At 42.0% G+C, this 17598-nt stretch overlaps 1 protein-coding gene and 2 long non-coding RNA genes across 3 annotated transcripts in view; 2 read left to right on the top strand and 1 right to left on the bottom strand.

Moving 5' to 3' along the window:
- TAS2R1 (taste 2 receptor member 1) overlaps nt 1-17598 on the top strand; it is a 276530-nt gene that overhangs the window by 39671 nt on the left and 219261 nt on the right. The window lies entirely within an intron of this gene.
- LINC02112 (long intergenic non-protein coding RNA 2112) overlaps nt 1-17598 on the top strand; it is a 262510-nt gene that overhangs the window by 39619 nt on the left and 205293 nt on the right. The window lies entirely within an intron of this gene.
- Nucleotides 6597-9829, bottom strand: LINC02221 (long intergenic non-protein coding RNA 2221). Its single transcript, NR_147004.1, has 2 exons — nt 9659-9829; nt 6597-6814 (listed from the first exon to the last, which is right to left on the bottom strand). It is a non-coding gene; the product is annotated as a long intergenic non-protein coding RNA 2221 (long non-coding RNA).

The following is a 17598-nucleotide window of genomic DNA, read 5'->3' as shown; positions in this document are numbered from 1 at the left end:
GGGCCTCTTGACTGCTTCTCAGGTGTGTGTTCAAGAAGAAATATGCACTTAGCTTCTGCTCCATTGAGGAAAGCAGAGCAGGACAGGGCTCCCTCTTCCCAACCCCAGAAGAAGTAGCCATTCTTTTGTTTTGTTGGCCTACTTGTATTCAGTTATGGGCATAGCAGGAGTAGTGTTCAGAATTTAAAAATCATGTTTGGTCTAAGCTCTAGGTCATATTTTCTAATCTAGCTTTCACCCGAGAGCCCTATCCTCTGGTGGTTATTGGAGAATTGCTTAGCCATTAGTTGAGTACAGACCTGAACTTTACTTGGGTAACTGTCCCAAGGAGCACTGTCCTCTGAGTGTTCTTTATTGACCAGAACTTTTGAAGGGGAGGGGTGTGTTCACCCTTGGGTCCCAACACCACTATCCAAATGATGCCAATACAAAAGATTACTGTTTATATGATCCTCTTCAAAGACACTTTTCACAATTTCCTCTTGTTCTTGGGCAGTCATGTATGAAGCCCTGGGTTTGGAGTATAAAGCCCTGAGCACTGAGAGAGCAATCTAATGTGAGTCAGGGAACACGGGGTTAGGTTCCAGCATTAGGAAGAAAAGCAAGTCTGCAGCCTCAGGTCAGTAATAATCTTTGGGCCTGGCTAGGTGCGGTGGCTCACGCCCGTAATCCAAACACTATGGGAGGCCAAGGGGGCAGATCACGAGGTCAGGAGATCGAGACCATCCTGGCTAACACAGTGAAACCCCATCTCTACTAAAAATACAAAAAATTAGACGTGTTGGTGGGAGCCCACGTCCCAGCTACTCGGTAGGCTGAGGCAGGAGAATGGCGTGAACCCAGGAGGCAGAGCTTTGCAGTGAGCCGAGATCATCACGCTACTGCACTCCAGTCTGGGCGATAGAGCGAGACTCCATCTCAAAAAAAAAAAAAAAAAAAAATCTTTGGGTCTCAGCCGCTTTCTGTATAACATGAGAGGGCCAAACCAAGTCAGCGAAGCCTGTATCAGAATCTTGATAGGTGGTGATGGTGGTAGAGGGAAGTGTTTAGTTTCAAAGCATATTTAATATGATATTATATTTTCATATTTCAGGGAAAATGGTTCATTGTTTCCATCATGTACTCTATGGAATACAAAGCTCTGAAACCTGTTGGCTACTGGAAGTGTACAAGAAAAAGACTCTCAAGCTAGAGGTGGGGTAGAGCTGGAGCCAGCCATGTCAAGATCTTTCGAGGACATGAACATTTTTTATGCTTATTAAAAGATGATGTGGTTTTAAAATAAATCTAAGGCTGGGCGCAGTGGCTCATGCCTGGAATCCCAGCAGTTTGGGAGGCTGAGGCGGGTGGATTGCTTGAGCTCAGTAATTCAAGACCAGCCTGGGCAACATGGCAAGAAACTCTCTCTACTAAAAACAGAAAAATTAAGTACGTGTGGTGGTGCATGTCTGTGGTCCCAGCTACTTGGGAGGCTGAGCTGGGAGGATGGCTTGAGCCCAGGGGGCAAGAGATGGGGGAGAGGTTGTAGTGAGCTGAGATCACGCCACTGCATTCCAGTCTGGGTGACAGAGCCAGACCCTGTCTCAAAATAATAATAATAATCATAAAACGAAATAAGACTAAGAGAAAGGTAGATTACACAAGTGCTAAAATCCCTTCCTGTTCTAACTTAGTGGATTCTTTATAAATCTCCTTATCCAGGGAATAGGGAATTATGTGACAGGACACAAGCAGAGGGCTCTGTGCGGTCTGATGCACAGAAGGTCAGAGTTGCTTCCCTTCCTCCACGGCTGCTTTTCTGCAGGTTAGGCTGTCAGAACAGGTTGCCCACAAACTAAAGGTACTAGCTCTCTGCTTCATGCCAGGCTTACGTCTGACTTTGATTTTTAATAGCAGGAAGGTTTGCTCTCAAAGCGCAAACCTTCCCAGCTCTTTTAACTGAAAACGAATGCACTGACTATGAGGCAATGAGAATGGGATGAAAAATTGGCTCATTTTTTTTTTTAAACTTAACGTTGCTTGATTTTAGCAAGTAAAATGGACTTGAAGGAGGCCTGTTTGCTCCTAATGGATTTGCCAGTCCCTCCTCGTAATCAGATTGCAGGGAGCCTGCTCTGCTTTATCATCTGGTAATCATTTTCAGAGCTGGTGAGACACCACGGGGGACTGGCCTCTGGCAGCAGTTCTCGGTTTGATTTGCAATATTTGTCCATGTGCATTTTTATGCCATTTGAGGATCACCCATCGCATCATCATTGAACTCAATTCGTTCCATTATGCTTAAGTGTGCGTTAGCTCTGGGGTGAGGACCCCTCATGCCTGGCTGCCCTGGAATGTGACCCAGTGAGTATTTTGTAGCAATGCTTCAGGCTGAGCTGGGGCTAGGGCAGGAGCTGAGATAAGCACTGCTTCTCTGTACAAACCCACTCCCTCATCCTAAATTTGAAAGGAGAGTAAAGAAGTCCTGCGAGAGGGTACAGGACATGCAAGGGGAGACTTTTTGCTGCTGTATACACACCCATTCTGTACCACCTTGATTCTACATATTCCTTAGAACAAGCACCCTCTACTGCTGTGTCTGGAGTCTCACCTTCTCCCTTAGGTGCCAGTTTGGTTGTGTGTGGGTAGTGCAAAGCTAACCATAGACAAGACTCTGAAACAAGTGCCTTTTCTCCACCACCATCCACTCAATTTCTTCCAACACTCTATGTTGATAGCACCCTATTTTATTGAACAAATATTTATTGGGCAGCTAATATGTAACTTGTACTGTTGCAGGCAATTAATTGCCTGTCAATGATCCAAACAGACAAAATAATTGCCGTCAGTGATATTATGTTCTAATGGTGACACAGGCATGAATGCAGGAGACTTAAAGCCTTAAATGATCATGGAGAACAGTCAGTAAAGTGATCCGTGCGTGGGCTGGTGTAGGCATAAAGGAATGGTGGGAAATACGGCCAGCTGCAGAGTGAATGTCCACTAAGGGGGAAGGCTGTTTTTCCACCAGCGTGAAAGAATGTTGTCCCTTTGCATTTCATTTCAAGAAAAGCTGGAAGTGTGAATTTTAAAAATGTAAAATCTATTTGTTTTAAATATTGGTCACTAGCTCAAAAGTTTTTAAAACACTATTCAATACCCAAATGCAATAGCAAAAAAAAAAAAAAACCTCATCTTCCCAGATTGTCCATTACAGTCAGTTTGCAACTTCTATGCTATGGAGTGAGCAAAAAAAAAAGGCCCTTACTTTCAGGTGACCAATAGGTAAAGGAACATATTTCTTGAGGGGCTGCTGCTTAGATCGTCTTGCTGCAGGAAGCACAAATGGCCCCACCTGTGTCCCTTTTTAACTGCTCCCACATTTTCACTGCGACCAACCTTTCTGCAGGCTGCAGCCATCCAGTGGCTGAGCACAGATGGGTACTGAGACATGACATGGAGCTCTCCAGTGGGTAACTTTGCCTTAAGGACTGCCCATAGGTCTGGCCAAGCCATTTTTTCCTGCAGTTTGAGACTCTTGCTCTCCAATATTCTATCCCTCTCTCCTTCCGCAGTATCAGACCTACATCCCAGGCTGAAGGCTTTTCCTAATTTCTGCTCTCTTTCCCCACACATCCTTTTACACATCAAATCCACAGCCGACCTGAAGTAACACAAGAAACTAGAGGGTTCTGACTGAAAGGGAGCTTCCTTCCTAGACCTGATTCTTTAGCTTGTTATTTCCTATTTTGTTTTGTCTTATTATTTGGTGCCATAGACAGTTTGAAATGTACTCAGAGTCTGGAGAGATGAGCTGTGAGGCAAGGAGCCTGAGCTGGGGAGGGAGATGAGGGAAGGTAAATGGAGAATGGCAGTGGTGTGCCTCCATGGTGGGAGGCAGCACAGGCTGAGAGGCTAGGAGGGCAGTATTGTGATGCGCTGGTGTCATTCCTAGCAGAGAGCAGTAAAGATAAATGTCTAGAAAAATGTTACTTGACCTTCACCATGATAACAAGCATTGACACCTGTTTCTTCAAAGATTCAACTGAGTTATTTGCCCACTGGATCATGGTCTCTTCTTTATGCATTTCTTCTTCGTGTTACTTTTCTTCCCATTTCCCCTCCTTCTTCCCCTTATTGCCACCTGCTTCAGTTCACACTTAAAACACACAAACATACACACTTCAAGCTTATGTCTCTGAAAGTTTACAACCTGTCAGATAAGATATTAGACTTTCAGTGGCAATAAATGATTGGACTGTTGACTTAATATTTTACAACAATGCACACAGTACTTTTAGCTCCTTACATTGCTGTTTTCAGTCTATTTTTATTCACTTACTTTTTCACTGGATCCTGTGAGAGAGGTAAGAATTATTGTCTTTGTAGTTATACTGATGTAACTGAGACTTTGACCCATTTGCTCTGGGTCTCAGGGGCTGTCTTCCAAACAGTGAGGATCCTGTTGTTGAAGCATGTTTGTTGACGATAGCTGGAGTAATATATTCAATTCTGTGGGAGAGGCAAGCAGCAACTGAGGTTTCTAATGGGCGGCTTTTATCTGGTCCCCCTGCATTACTTTGCTTGAATGCGTGTGACTGAGGACAGAATGGGTTTGAAACTAGAATAATGGCCACTCCCCAGACAGTTAGATTACAACAGATCTATGACTTGCAAGAGCAGAACGCAATAATCAATGGGATACCATAAGCCAAACCATCTGGGGCACTTATATCAATTTGAACAAAATGCACCTTAGAAGGAATGCTGAATTTTCAGTTCTTAAGTGATGATCAAGCCCACTCTATGAAAAACAAAGTGTGGTTTGTAAATGGAAGTGCCTCTCCTGGTTCACAGAAAGTTCCTGTGGCTGTTTCTAATTCCTTCAGCTTTTTCTTTCTGCAGACTAACATCTAAATCATTTTATACCTTTGCTTTCATTTGGTTTCTTTCGTGGCTTTATTTCTTTATTGCCTTGACCATGTGGCAATTCCAGTTCGTGTTAGATAATATTGGAGGTATATTTTGGGGGCCAAAGGGAGTGGTTGACGTAAGATGGAGACTGCTATGAGGTGAGGATTTAATTGTTTCTGATAGGCAGCAAAGGACCATTTTAATGAAAAAAGTTCTTGAGCTGGGAGGGAATTAGTGAAAATCGTTTAAGGGAAACCTATCATTGTTCTTGCATCTGACACTTTAAACACAGCTATTAAACCCATCTACCTCTCCGTGAGTGGAATGTGAAAACTATCAGCCAATACCACTTTGTATACCCAACTGTGCAAAATTGCTTACAGCTTGTCTGCTACCTACTAATTCTTGCTTTTATTTTCTAAGTCCAAGACATCCAGGAGACATTTTCTTTTGCAAATTATTTCCCTTGTTTTATTTTGAATTATATTATACAGACAGGGAAGTGCATACAATCTATACAAGCTGTTGTTTAAGGAACACTTTTAAAGAAAGCACCCCTGTAACAACCATTCAGTCTAAGAAACAGAGCCTCGTCAGACTCCCAATTTCCTTCTATATTGTCCTCCCAGAGACTAATCTTTGTTCTGACATTTTGTTAATTATATCATTGCTTTTTAAAGATATTTTTATCTCTTATAAAAAGCATCACTAAACAATGTAGTTTAGATTATCCTGCTCTTGAACTTAACATTGAGGGAATCATATCAATGTGTTCTTTTATGTCTGACTCCTTTTACTCAATGTGTTGTTTGTAAGCTTCATCCTGATGTTATGAGTAGCACTGGGGAGGGTGAGAAGGACAGCTTTATATTACCTGCATCACTGCCCCCAACTTCAGGCAGCACGGCATGGAGAGAGATACCCTTCACTTGGGGAAAGGAGAGAAAAGTAAGCACTGCACTTTGCCTTGGATGCCAACACTGGGCCTGCCACAGTAAAACCCAACACTGGGCTCACCATAACCTAAGACTCCAGGCCGGTCCCTCTGGACTGAACCTATAGGACTACCCTAGTCCAAGGCTGGATCCTGCAGCCCCAGGCTCCAGTCCGGCCTGGCAGACTCAGTCTTCAGGCCTGCCTCAGCCCCAGGATCCAGACTGGGCCTCAGTGGCTTTGGATCTACCCTAGGGCCAGGTCAGCCCCCACAGATTCAGACTCTAGGCCCACCCTAGGGCCAGGGTAGCCCCAGCAGCCCTAGGCTCCAGACCACCCCCAGCACTGGGATGGCCCCTACAGCCCCAGACTTCATGCCCACCCCAGCCCTAGAATACCCCCCATGGCCCTAGTCACCAGGTTGGCACCTGCAGACCCAGGCACCAGGGTCTGCTCACCTGCTGACCCAAGAAACAGGCCAGCCTGCTGGAGGACATTAGCAGCAAGCCTGCTCATGAACCATACCAGGTGGTATACCCAGAATCTCTGGGTAGGCTGACTGGTGAAGGGCTCCCCCAAGACAAAGCCAGTCTGCAGACTGGAACAAGCCTCTACTTTTTCAAATGTTCAGACCTCAATGTAAGTCAACAAGAAACACAAAAAACCAATAACGAGACATAACTCCTACCCAAAGAACACAATAATCTTCTAGTAGCTGACCCAAAAGACATGGAGATATACAAACTTCCTGATAAAGAATTCAAAATAAATATTTATATTAAATTTATTTATTTTCCTTCAACTTTTAAGCTCGGGTATATGTGCAGGATGTACAGGTATGCTACACAGGTAAACGTGAACCATGGTGGTTTGCTGCACAAATCAACCCATCGCCTTGGTATTAAGCTCCACATCCATTAGCTACTCTTCCTGATGCTCCATATATACCAGTTGTTCACATTTTTGGGTTACATTGCCCTTTGGATACCTGCATACAATGTATAATAATCAAATCAGGGTAATTGAGATATCCATCACCTTAAACATTTATCTTTTCTTTCAAACGTTTAACTTTTCTTTGTCTTGCAATTCTTCTAGGCATTTTGAAATATACAATATTATTGTTAACTTTAATTCTCCAACCGTACTGTCAAATACTAAAACGTACTTCTTCTATCTAACTGTATTTTTGTACCCCTTAACCAACTTCTCTTCATCTCCTCCTTCTCACTTCCCTTCCCAACCTTTGGTTACCACAATTCTACTCTATGCTTCCATAGAATCTACTTTACTTTATTCTGTATTAATATATATGAATCAGTGAGAACATGCAATGTTTGTCTTTCTGTACTGGGCTTATTTTACTTTACATAATGGCCACCAGTTCTATCCCCATTGAGCCAAATGGCATGATTTTATCCTTTTTATGGCTGAATAGTATTCCATTGTGTATATATACCATATATTCTTTATCCATTCATGTGTTGATGGATACTTAGATTTATTCCATATCTTGACCATCGTGAATAGTGCTGCAATAAACATGGGAGTGCAGATATCTCTTTGAAATACTGTAATCTTGTGGGTATGATTCAGTTATTCTACTGTTTCTTCTTGATTTTACTCATGGTGATTTCTTTCCTTGTGTGCTTGGTTATTTGTGTGCAGTTTATTGTCTAAGGGTTTTATTGTGGTAATATTTTGAAGGTCAATAGACAATTTTCTCTATAGAGAGAATATGCATTTGCTACTGCCAAGTTTCTGTATGTCTGGTCTTGGGTGACCATAAACAAGTTTGTAATCTGTGGATCCCTGTATCTCCCAGGCAATGCTGTAGCTAATGTCTATAATTTGGTAGGAACACTCTTTCTTTTCCTTTAATACCTACTCCAGACAGGGCCCAACAACTTCCTCTGTATTCTCCTGCAAAGATGTGAGAGAGGAGTTTATGTGTAGCACTATAACCATGAGTTCATTGTCCTTTTTTTTTCTCCCCTTGCTTAATATAAGGAGAGCCTCCTATTAGTGTCTCCACTTGGGATACAGCCTGGGCATTGACCTCTGTATCTTGTGCTATCCAAGGGAGATTGCAGAATCAAAGCAGGAATTTCTCGGGGTAGGCAAGTAACTGCAGGTCAAAGTAGAGTAAGTTTCTTGTGCTTGGCTTTCTGGATTTCAGCTTTCCTTAGATTTTATTTTGGCTATCTGTCAGTTCTTAAATTCTTATAAGGAGACGTTTTAAATATTTTATCTAGCATTCTTAGTTGCTTCTATCTGAAGGTTTGGTTCTAATAAACCATTGTTAGAAATGCAAGTTATTGCCTTCTTTTTAAAAAGTAAAATGTAAATACAATTCTTATTCAAAGGCATAATCTTTTCTTCCTTTATGCTGATTGTAACAAAATAAAAAAAAAACTAGAAAACACATTGTAAAAGAAGGAAAATTTGCCCTTGATACCAATCAGAATGTAGGGCTATAATATCTTTTAGCACTTCTTAACCAGGATTGAAAAGCAAAAAACAAAAACCAAAAAGCAAAACCAAACCTTAGGCCCTAATACCTGAAGGCATTGTGGTAAATACTTATGATTTTATCTTGCATCAGCATCTATTTTGAAAACAAGTTTGACTTTCTCATATCAGAAGCAGGGCTCAGTCACCATTGACACAGCCTTTAGTTCCATGCTATACTCAAATGGCTCAAGCCAGTGGCCAAAGATAAAAACTTGGAGGCATCTCTCTCCAGTCTGGCAGACTGAGCTCTGCACTTCCTTCTGCTTTCTTTAAAGGGATCATTCAGGCATTTGCCCAATTACTTGAAGTGACTGATACGCTGTTCTTTTATATATGCTGCTGAGAGCATGCACTCATGTGTGCACGCTCTCTCTGTCTCTCTCTGCCTGACTCCATTTCTGCCTGCATGACTGAGGATGGAGAGCTTCACTCTTGACTCATTGTCAACTCCTTTGCCTAGGACCTATAAGTAAAAACTCTTTAAACTTATTTCCTATTGTGATGGTGTATTGAATTTGCACCTTCCATCTAAAGAACTAGAGGTTATCCTGGCCGGATTTTCCCTGTTGCCAGGGAGACTAGAAAGTCAGGCTCCCAGTGCCTGAGCAATGGTCAGGCAGGACTAAACTGGAGATGGGTCAGATAAGAGCCATAAGGGCATCTGCCAGTGTAAACAAGTTTCCTATGTGAGGGACTCCCTGATTGCAAGTCAGTCAAGTAAGAATTAGGAAGTCTGCCAAGTAAAAGAAGTATCCCGTGAAAGGTACACTGTAAACACCCATGTCCAGGTACCCTTCATGTCCCATTAGGGCAGGGTTGCTAGCTGTTCTGGTACTAGAACCCAAATTTAGCTGGGGGCTCTCGAAACAAGTATCCTTTGAATGGAATGAATAAACTTCTCTCTAAGACTTTCAGAGTTGTACTAGCAGAACCCATTATGAAGAGTCAGTGTCTGAGGGTATTATTTGAGAAAATGGCAACTCAAATCTTTTTATGTAGGATCTTCAACCCTGGTTAATATGGGCTGAATATCCTTCAACAAAAAGATCAATGGGCCTTTATTCATGGGATGAGAAAATACTTACCAAATCTTTAATTTTGATGGTTGTATCACGATTTATTTAACCTTCCCTGTTTTTTGTACATTTATGTCAAATCCAGTATTGCAACTTTCTGTATCCTTATCTTAGTTTTAATACTTCCTTCTGATCCTCTTACTTTAGCAATCCATCAAACTTTCTTTTTTAGATATTTGGCCTCAATATACTCTTTGATTCTGCAGTTTGAACATATTATTGAATCTTGAGTCTCATCTTACCTTCAACAACCTTTGTTCCTTATTACAACTCTGATAGATGAGGCCCCAATCCCTTAGCCTGAAGAAGACGCTACAGACTGTTATGGAAATATTGTGTTAGGGAATATTACGTGTTGAATTGCATCCCTCCAGATTTACATGTTGGGGTCTTAACTCCCAGAAGCTCAGAATGTGACCTTATTTGGAAATTAGGTTGTTGTAGATGTAATTAGTTAATATGAAGTCACAATGGAGCAGGTGAGGCCCTAATCCAATATGACTGGTGTCCTTCTTAAAAAAAAAAAAAGGAATTTATGCACAGAGAGACACACACAGGAAGAATGACATGTGTACATAAAGCCAGAGGTTGGGGTGATGTGTCTACAAGCCAAGCAACACCAAAGATCCCAGCGAGCAAACCTTTAGAAGCTAGAGAGGCTGAAGCAGATTCTCCCTCACAGTCTTCAAAGGAACCAACCCTGCTGACAGCTGGATCTTAGACTTCTTGTCTACAGAACTGTGTGACAATAAGTCACTGTTGTTTAAGCCATCTAGTTTTGGTATTTTACCACAGCAGCTCTAGCAAACTAGTACAGGGAGACTGTGTGAGTTAAATTAAAATCATGTATGATTAAAAACAGGAAGAACCCTTTCAATTTAGACCAATATGTTATTGGGAGGTAGATTTAGAAGTGCAGCACTTCTCAGTATCATTGACCTTATAATTGCTCTCAAATGTGCCTTTTCTTGTTGTGATCCTCTGTCATTGGTCACTCTGCCTCATATCTCTTTTATGCCCATTCCCACCCCATCAGGAGCCACTGCGTGGTTCTCCAGCAAAGGTTTATTCCTGTATATGCTCCCCTTGTCATCCCCAATTAGAAGACCTAGATATCGCCAAGGGTTTCTTGTGTATTCAGGGATACAGTCATGTTGAGGTAGGAGGTGGGACTTGACTCTGGACCAGATTAAAGACTGGCTGAATCAGGGAAGAGGCACCCAAAGTACCTCTCCATAAGACATGCCCACCAGCACCATGACAGTTTACCATTGCCACGGCAACACCTGGAAGTTACCACCTGTTTCCATGACAACACCTGGAAGTTACTGCCCCTTTCCATGGCAATGTCCTGAAAGTTACCATTCCTTTTCCAAAAATTTCTGAATAATCTACCCCTTAATTGGCATGTAATTAAAAGTGAGTTTAACCATGAGCTCACTTTTAACTGTGAGCTGTGCCTGAGCTGCTGCTCTTGACACAGCCTGTAGGGTAGCCCTGCTCTGCGGGAGCAGTCACGAAGCTGTAACACTGCCATCTCAATAAAGTTGTTTTCTTCTACCACTGGCTCACCTTTGAATTCTTTCCTGGGAAAAGCCAAAAACCTTCCTGGACTAAGCCCTAATTTTTGGGCTTGCCTGTGATGCATTAATGTGTTTCATGTGTATCCAGGGATTCCAATTCTGGGATATCAAAGGTTACATGGACTGGGAGAGGCAAAGTCAAAACTACTTTGTCCTGCATATCCTACCTCCCCACTGCTCTCCCGTGCACCAAGTGAAACAATGATTTCTATCATCTGTTTTCCAGTGCCAAAACATTTTCTATACTAACTAGCTCAGCTAGAAAACTTTGAGATGGTTACTGGGAGAAGTGTCATGCTCATTCATTGACTGGGAATGATGCCAATGGGCTAAATGAGACATATATATATATATTTTTTTTTTTCCTGCAAGAAGGAAGCCAAAGATAGAAGCTACCAGTTCAAGTCAAGCCAAGCTGAAAATCAGTCTCATTTGTCACCATCTGATGTTGTACAGGGGTATCAGTGCTGTGAATGAACCCACGTATCCTCATGGGCTATTGCCCGACTGTCTCATTTTAAAGAGGATTTATACTTCAGAGTCTTGCTATGTATTACATCTGAGACAGATGAAAGGAAACAATTTATAATTGCTTAACACGTGTGCACAGGTTAACATATCCCACCTCCAAATTATCTTCCTCCTTATGAATCACAGTTCTCTGGAGATTTGTGGGAGGCACTGAGTTTCAATCACAGTATTAAATTTAGTGACCTTCAAGAGAAAGGGGGAGCAAATTGCAGCTTCCTCAACTTGTACATGCCAGGAGTTTGCCATTCATCCTGCTACCAGGCAAATGAACATAGTGACCTCCTGACAGAAACAGGAGAGAATGAAAAAAATTCTGGGGAGTGAAAATAAGTTTGGACACTCTTGTGATCTACAGTTAAGTCATCCAACTAGCTAAAGTAACTTTGAAAAAAAAAACAACTAGTGGACCTCAATAATTTTGAAGCTTTAGAAATACATGCATTTAAATAAATAAAATTAGAGGTTAATTTCTTCAAAACCATTTTTGTAAAGCCTCCTAGAGGATAAGGCTTGATTCTTCATTAAAAATAAAGTAATTCTCCTTTGTAAATGATTTTTTAAGCACATCTATAATATACTATACCTTCCATTGTTTAATAAATGAAACATCCAGAGCTGTCACAGTGAGATAGCCCTTCTACAGGAGGTATTTAAACTCTTCTTCTCTTCTCTCTTATTCTTTTTCAATGTCTCTGAGCCATATTAATGATGGATATTTAATCCCTAGTCAAGCCTCTATCTGAAGCTGTCTGGAAATGAGGAGTGACTTTTAAAAGGCAGACAATAAACAGACTGGATAGATTCTATCTACAGAGAAGCACTTGACGCCCCTAGTGTGACCAGCAAAGCTTGAAGTCTTTAAGGCTCTTAGCTTCCACATGTCACAGCCCTGTATGGGTATTTATAACCCATTTCTGAGACTGAGCACCTTCCAGTACTGGGCAGCATATTGGTCCAGCAACTGGGCCACCTGCTGGCCATTGGACAGTTGCTTTGCCAGACGATGATCTGTTCTCCATTATGTGGCTTCCCCGCATCCTGTGCTGTTTGGCATATTCTGCAGATGACCAACTGGGATGTTCATGCTGCACTTCTTGTGTTCCAAATGAGTCATGGATATTTTAGAGTTTGGAAAGTAAAAGAAAAAAAAAAAAAAACAAATCCCAGCAGAAGAAATTACTTGTGAGATCTGTAGATCAAGTGGATCAATGCAGTTCTTATTTGTCTTTAGTGTCTCAAAAAAGACCAGAATTAAAGTGCTCTAGAGTTATAGGTGGTATTATTTCTTTGTCAATTTTAGGCTTTTAAATTTGTAATGTACACCAAAGGCCATGTTGGCTGCTCCCACCACTGTCTTTGTTGTCTAGCCAACATGCGCCTTCAGACAATGAAGACAACCTGAGTCAATAAAGGTTTTCAACTCGATTCTGACATTACTGCAACTAGGTTATCAATAAGTTTGGATGTTGAGTGTATCATTCTCTCTATAAACATGGTTTATAGATAATTTATTAAACTTTTACTCTTACCTGTGTGTGGAGGCATACTAGTCCCTGAGAGAACTGCCTTTATCCAGCTGTCTTGCAGGCAGCAATAGACATCTCAGGTCGTGGATTTAGCTGCTCCTGAAAAATGCCTTAAATCTGAACTCCACCTGAAAAGAGACAACATTCATTTCCAGGTCCACTGATGCCACCAGCCAAAACTTTAAAGGGAAACAGAATGTTCTCTTTCAGCTCTTTCTCATTCTCCCCCTCCCACTCCAGGTCTGGGACTCTTTAATTAATGGATCCCAAAATTAGAATATGAAGGCAATTCCTTTGCAACACCTCCCATTTCACAGTGGTGTGCTTTTGCTCTTTGGACGGGGTTGATACCATGTATGAGAGACAAATCTTTTATCAGGAGCTCCAACCTGATGTACACACTTGCTCCCCGGCATACTTACACGTGTGCCCATCTGTTTGGGTGGTAGGAGGCCTGTGGGGGATGGGGCAGGGCAATTTCAAGGATGCCCATTTGCCAATGTGGAAGAGCTGGTTCGGGGGCACAGCCTGCAGAGCCCAGCATGTGCCAGTTCTTCTGCCAAGAGAACCTTCTGTTTGGCAACAGTGCCTGAACAGGCAGCATGCTGCTCTACAATGGGCAACATCTGCAGATGGAAAGCTGGTGGGTGATGTACCCTCCGTGATGGATTCTGCTGCATGCCATCACCCAGCTCCCTTTAGAACAAGCTAACAGTGAATAATACCTCACAAAAGCAAGCCAGTTTTACCATCACTTTTTGATTATGGAAATAGTTATTGAATGCTTGCCATAAATTGAAAGTCATGTGTTCTGTGCTTTGGGATAATGTAGATGGATTTGACATGGACCCTAGCTTTAAGAGGCTTGTGGAAGTAACAGAAATAAGCACACACATAGAGAGTTTGTAGACAAGCAATGTCATAGGCCTAGAGACACAGACACCAAAGCCACAGAGATGTGCTATTAAAGCCCAGAGGAGGGAAGAGGATGTTCAGCTGGGGCGCCCAGGGGATAGGTGTTTGGGCTGCGCTTTGAGGGTGGGAAAGGTTTGCACCTGTGGTTAGGGTGGAATAGACCATGCATAGTTGAGGGACTTTCATGTCAGATAGGAGTGAGAGACAGTGGAGTGCTTGAGTGGGACTTAGCACGAACTGTGAGATAAATGAAAGAGGAGATGGAAAAGATATGCTGAGGATAGATCATGGGGAGCTGTGATATCTGGGTGAGTGTTTGGTCTAGGAGAGCTAGTCAAGACAGGGATGGAGCTGTGCTGCCCCCAGATGCATGAAAGGTATAGAGGAAGATGGGAGCTTGCCTGGGAGACCACAGCATCAGCACTAGCCCTTGGTCCTGAGAGCTGAGTTTGAGTCTTCATAGTTTGTCAATTAACCAGTGTTTACTGAACTCCTTGTTACAGGCTCTTTAAGTGGACCAGGTAGTATTTAGCCTCTCCACCTAGGAGGTGAGATACATCAAGTGAACCTTTGTACCTCAACATGATGAGATAAGGGCAAAGCTACAGGAATTCCTATGGAAGTCTGGGAACCCAGAGGAGGGGGGAACACAGAAGTGTCCAGATGCCTGAAATGTCACCTGCAGAGTGGAGGACAGCATGACCTTCAGAGCTGGGTGGTCTAGTTGTATCACAGCCATGCAGCATTGGGCAGATTACATCACTTCTCTTGCTTTAGGGTATTCATTTGTAAAATTGACTTAATAATAGCGCCTACTTCATAGGGTTGTTAATTAAGTGAGTTCATGTATTTCCAATGCATGGAAACATGCTTGGTCTCCAGCATTTGAACTGTGTGTGTGAACATGTGTTGTTGTGGCAGTGCTGTTTAACAAATGATACAGAATGGTGGTTAAATATTCATATCTCAACCTGGGTCTGTGGACCAGGGGTGGCCCCACTGGGTTAGACTTGCTTGACTCTAAGCTGGGGTCAGGTTTAATTCTGATCCATGTGTCTTTTCAGTTCGGATCCCAGGAACATCTCCATCTGGGACTTGTTTTCACAATGGAGAGAAGGAGGGTTGGGTCCCAGCCAAATGCTGTGCTTTTGCCCCATGTGCACTCAGGGTTCCTCCCAGCTCCTCACATTCCTCTGGTCTCGCCTTCCAAGACCAACATTGATTGGCAAGGAAACGTATTCTTCTCATGGAAGTGTCAAGGGGATGGTAGATACCTGACAAATAGGAACATCATAAACCATGCCTGTCATGGACGGTTTCCTGAAGGAAGTAATGGAAACAGACTTAAAAAACGGTTAAGCAGGTATATTAGTTGCAGGCAAAAACACAAACACCAATTTAAAGAGGTAGAGCTGACCTAGCTGTGACTATGTTGTAATGAATTTTCTTTTCTTAAATTTATTTTAATTTTAAAAATATCTCCCCAACTTTATTAACATATATATATAATTGACAAATAAAAATTGTATAAATTTACAGTGTACCATGTGCTGTTTTCATATATGTAGACATTGGAAAATGATTAAATTAAGCTAATTAACATGGTATCATCTTCCACATTATTTTTTTTGTGGTGAGAACATTTAAAATCTACTCTCTTAGTGATTTTCATGTATGTAATACATTATTATTAACTGTAGTCATTCTGCTGTACAATAGATGACCAGAGCTTATTCATCGTGTCAAACCTGAAACTTCATACCCTTAATTTGGAGTAAAATCGGCATAATGTATAACAACAAGCATTAAACTTGACATAAGGAGACCCGAGTTCCCATTGCATAATCTTGGTTAAGATGCTTACAATTTGGATGCCTCCATTGTTTCATTTGCAAAAAGGAGGGAGCTAGATTAATTAACCTTCAAGTTCTCTTCCAATATCCTGTGATTCCATGATGATGAAGAGTTACAAAGAAAGAAGCGTTGCTGAGATGGGTCTTTGGAGGAATAGAAGGCATCTAATTTGATGGAAGGCATTTATTGTAAACCTGCGGAATTTATTGCTGACAGAAGCAGTGATAAGAGTTACTTCAGGTTCTTGATCAGTGAATACTAATTTGGGACTTAAGAAGTATTCATGAGTTCTGTGTTGGATGGTGTAGTGCCATGTTTCTCAAGCCTTAGTGTGCATCAGAATCACCTGGAGGGAGTGTTCAAACACAAATTGTTGGGATCCAGTCCCACTCCAGAGTTTCTGATTCAGTAAGTCTGAGGTAGAGCCCAGGAATTTGCGTGTCTGACAAGTTTCTGGATGATGCTACTTCACTGGTCCGGGGACCACACTTTGAGAACCACTGGTGTTGGGGAAGTAGTTGGTGCCCTGCCCAGATGACCTCCACTACTGGTGCACCCAGGCCCCAGCTACTCTTAGTGTGGCTATGGCCCACAGCTGTCCTGTCTCTGGAGAGTTGCCCTTGGCTAATGGAACCTTCTAGGAGGCGAAACAACTCAACCATCAGGCATACCGACCGTCAAAGGCTTACAAATGACTGGTCACTTTGTCTCAAGGTGGCACCAACTCCAGCTGGCTTGTCGTTGATGCTCCAAAGCTTCCATGTGACATTGGCTCAAGCCAGTCCCTGGTGAGAGTATATTTTTGTTAGTATTTTGCTCTAGCTGCATCCTGCTGCCTTCACTCTCTTCTTCTAAGAGCACTCCCTCAATTGATCACATGAACAAGAAATCCTATCTCAGGTTCTGCATTTAGTGAAACTGACTTAAGACAGATGGTCTAGAGCTAGAGAACCCAGGGCCAAGGAAACCAATTTGTGTATTGTTTCAGGGATCTAGAAGTTAGGTATTGAGGGTATAATTTTATAAAAATCAAAAGGGGGAAACCCAAAGAACTTTTTTAAAAAAGGATCTAAAATAGACCCCTTTACCATGTTATGTAAGATCAGGCATAGGACAAAAGAGAAGAAGTACAAACATTTTCTTATGGTCAAAACCTGAATATGATATGAATATGATAAGGCTGTTTGTAACAATGGACAATTTGAGAAGGTTGTTGAGAGGAAGATCAACTTGGATTTCAGCGTGTAAGGTTTTGTGAGTTTTAGGGTCATCTATGAAGTTTTCCTGTAAGTGTCTGCCTATATGGGACTTGCTAGAGGGTGAGCTGTCAGAGCTGGGCTGTAGCTTTGGGAATCATTTTCACAGTTCGTAATGAGATCATGGGAGTTAATGAGGTAACTGAGACATTGAACAGCTAAGGCAGATGGCCTGAGACTGCAACTTTGAGGCTGCCCATGGTTACACCTGAAAGAAAAGCAGATTTCAAAAGAAAGTGTAAGGAGACAATTGAAATAAGTTGGAAGCATAAAAAGGGTTAGTGAGTTAGAAAAGTGTGGGCTTGGTTTTGTTTTCAATTGGTCAACTTAGGGGCACATATTGAAATATTGTTATTTTGAACTTCTGAGCCTTCAAGAAATTTCAGGTTTTACAAGTAGAGTTCATTTTTGTTTGTTTGTCTTAGTTTGTGTGTGTGTGTGCAATGTGTGTGTGTTTGGGGATTGGTTTAGACATGAGCAGATATTTTCACCTAAATGCAGTTCTCATAAGAGTAAA

The sequence above is a fragment of the Homo sapiens genome, chromosome 5, assembly GCF_000001405.40.
Source record: "Homo sapiens chromosome 5, GRCh38.p14 Primary Assembly".
NCBI lineage: Eukaryota > Metazoa > Chordata > Mammalia > Primates > Hominidae > Homo > Homo sapiens.
The sequence above is the reverse complement of the archived record's forward strand: the minus strand, read 5'-3'. Positions and strand labels throughout refer to the sequence as shown.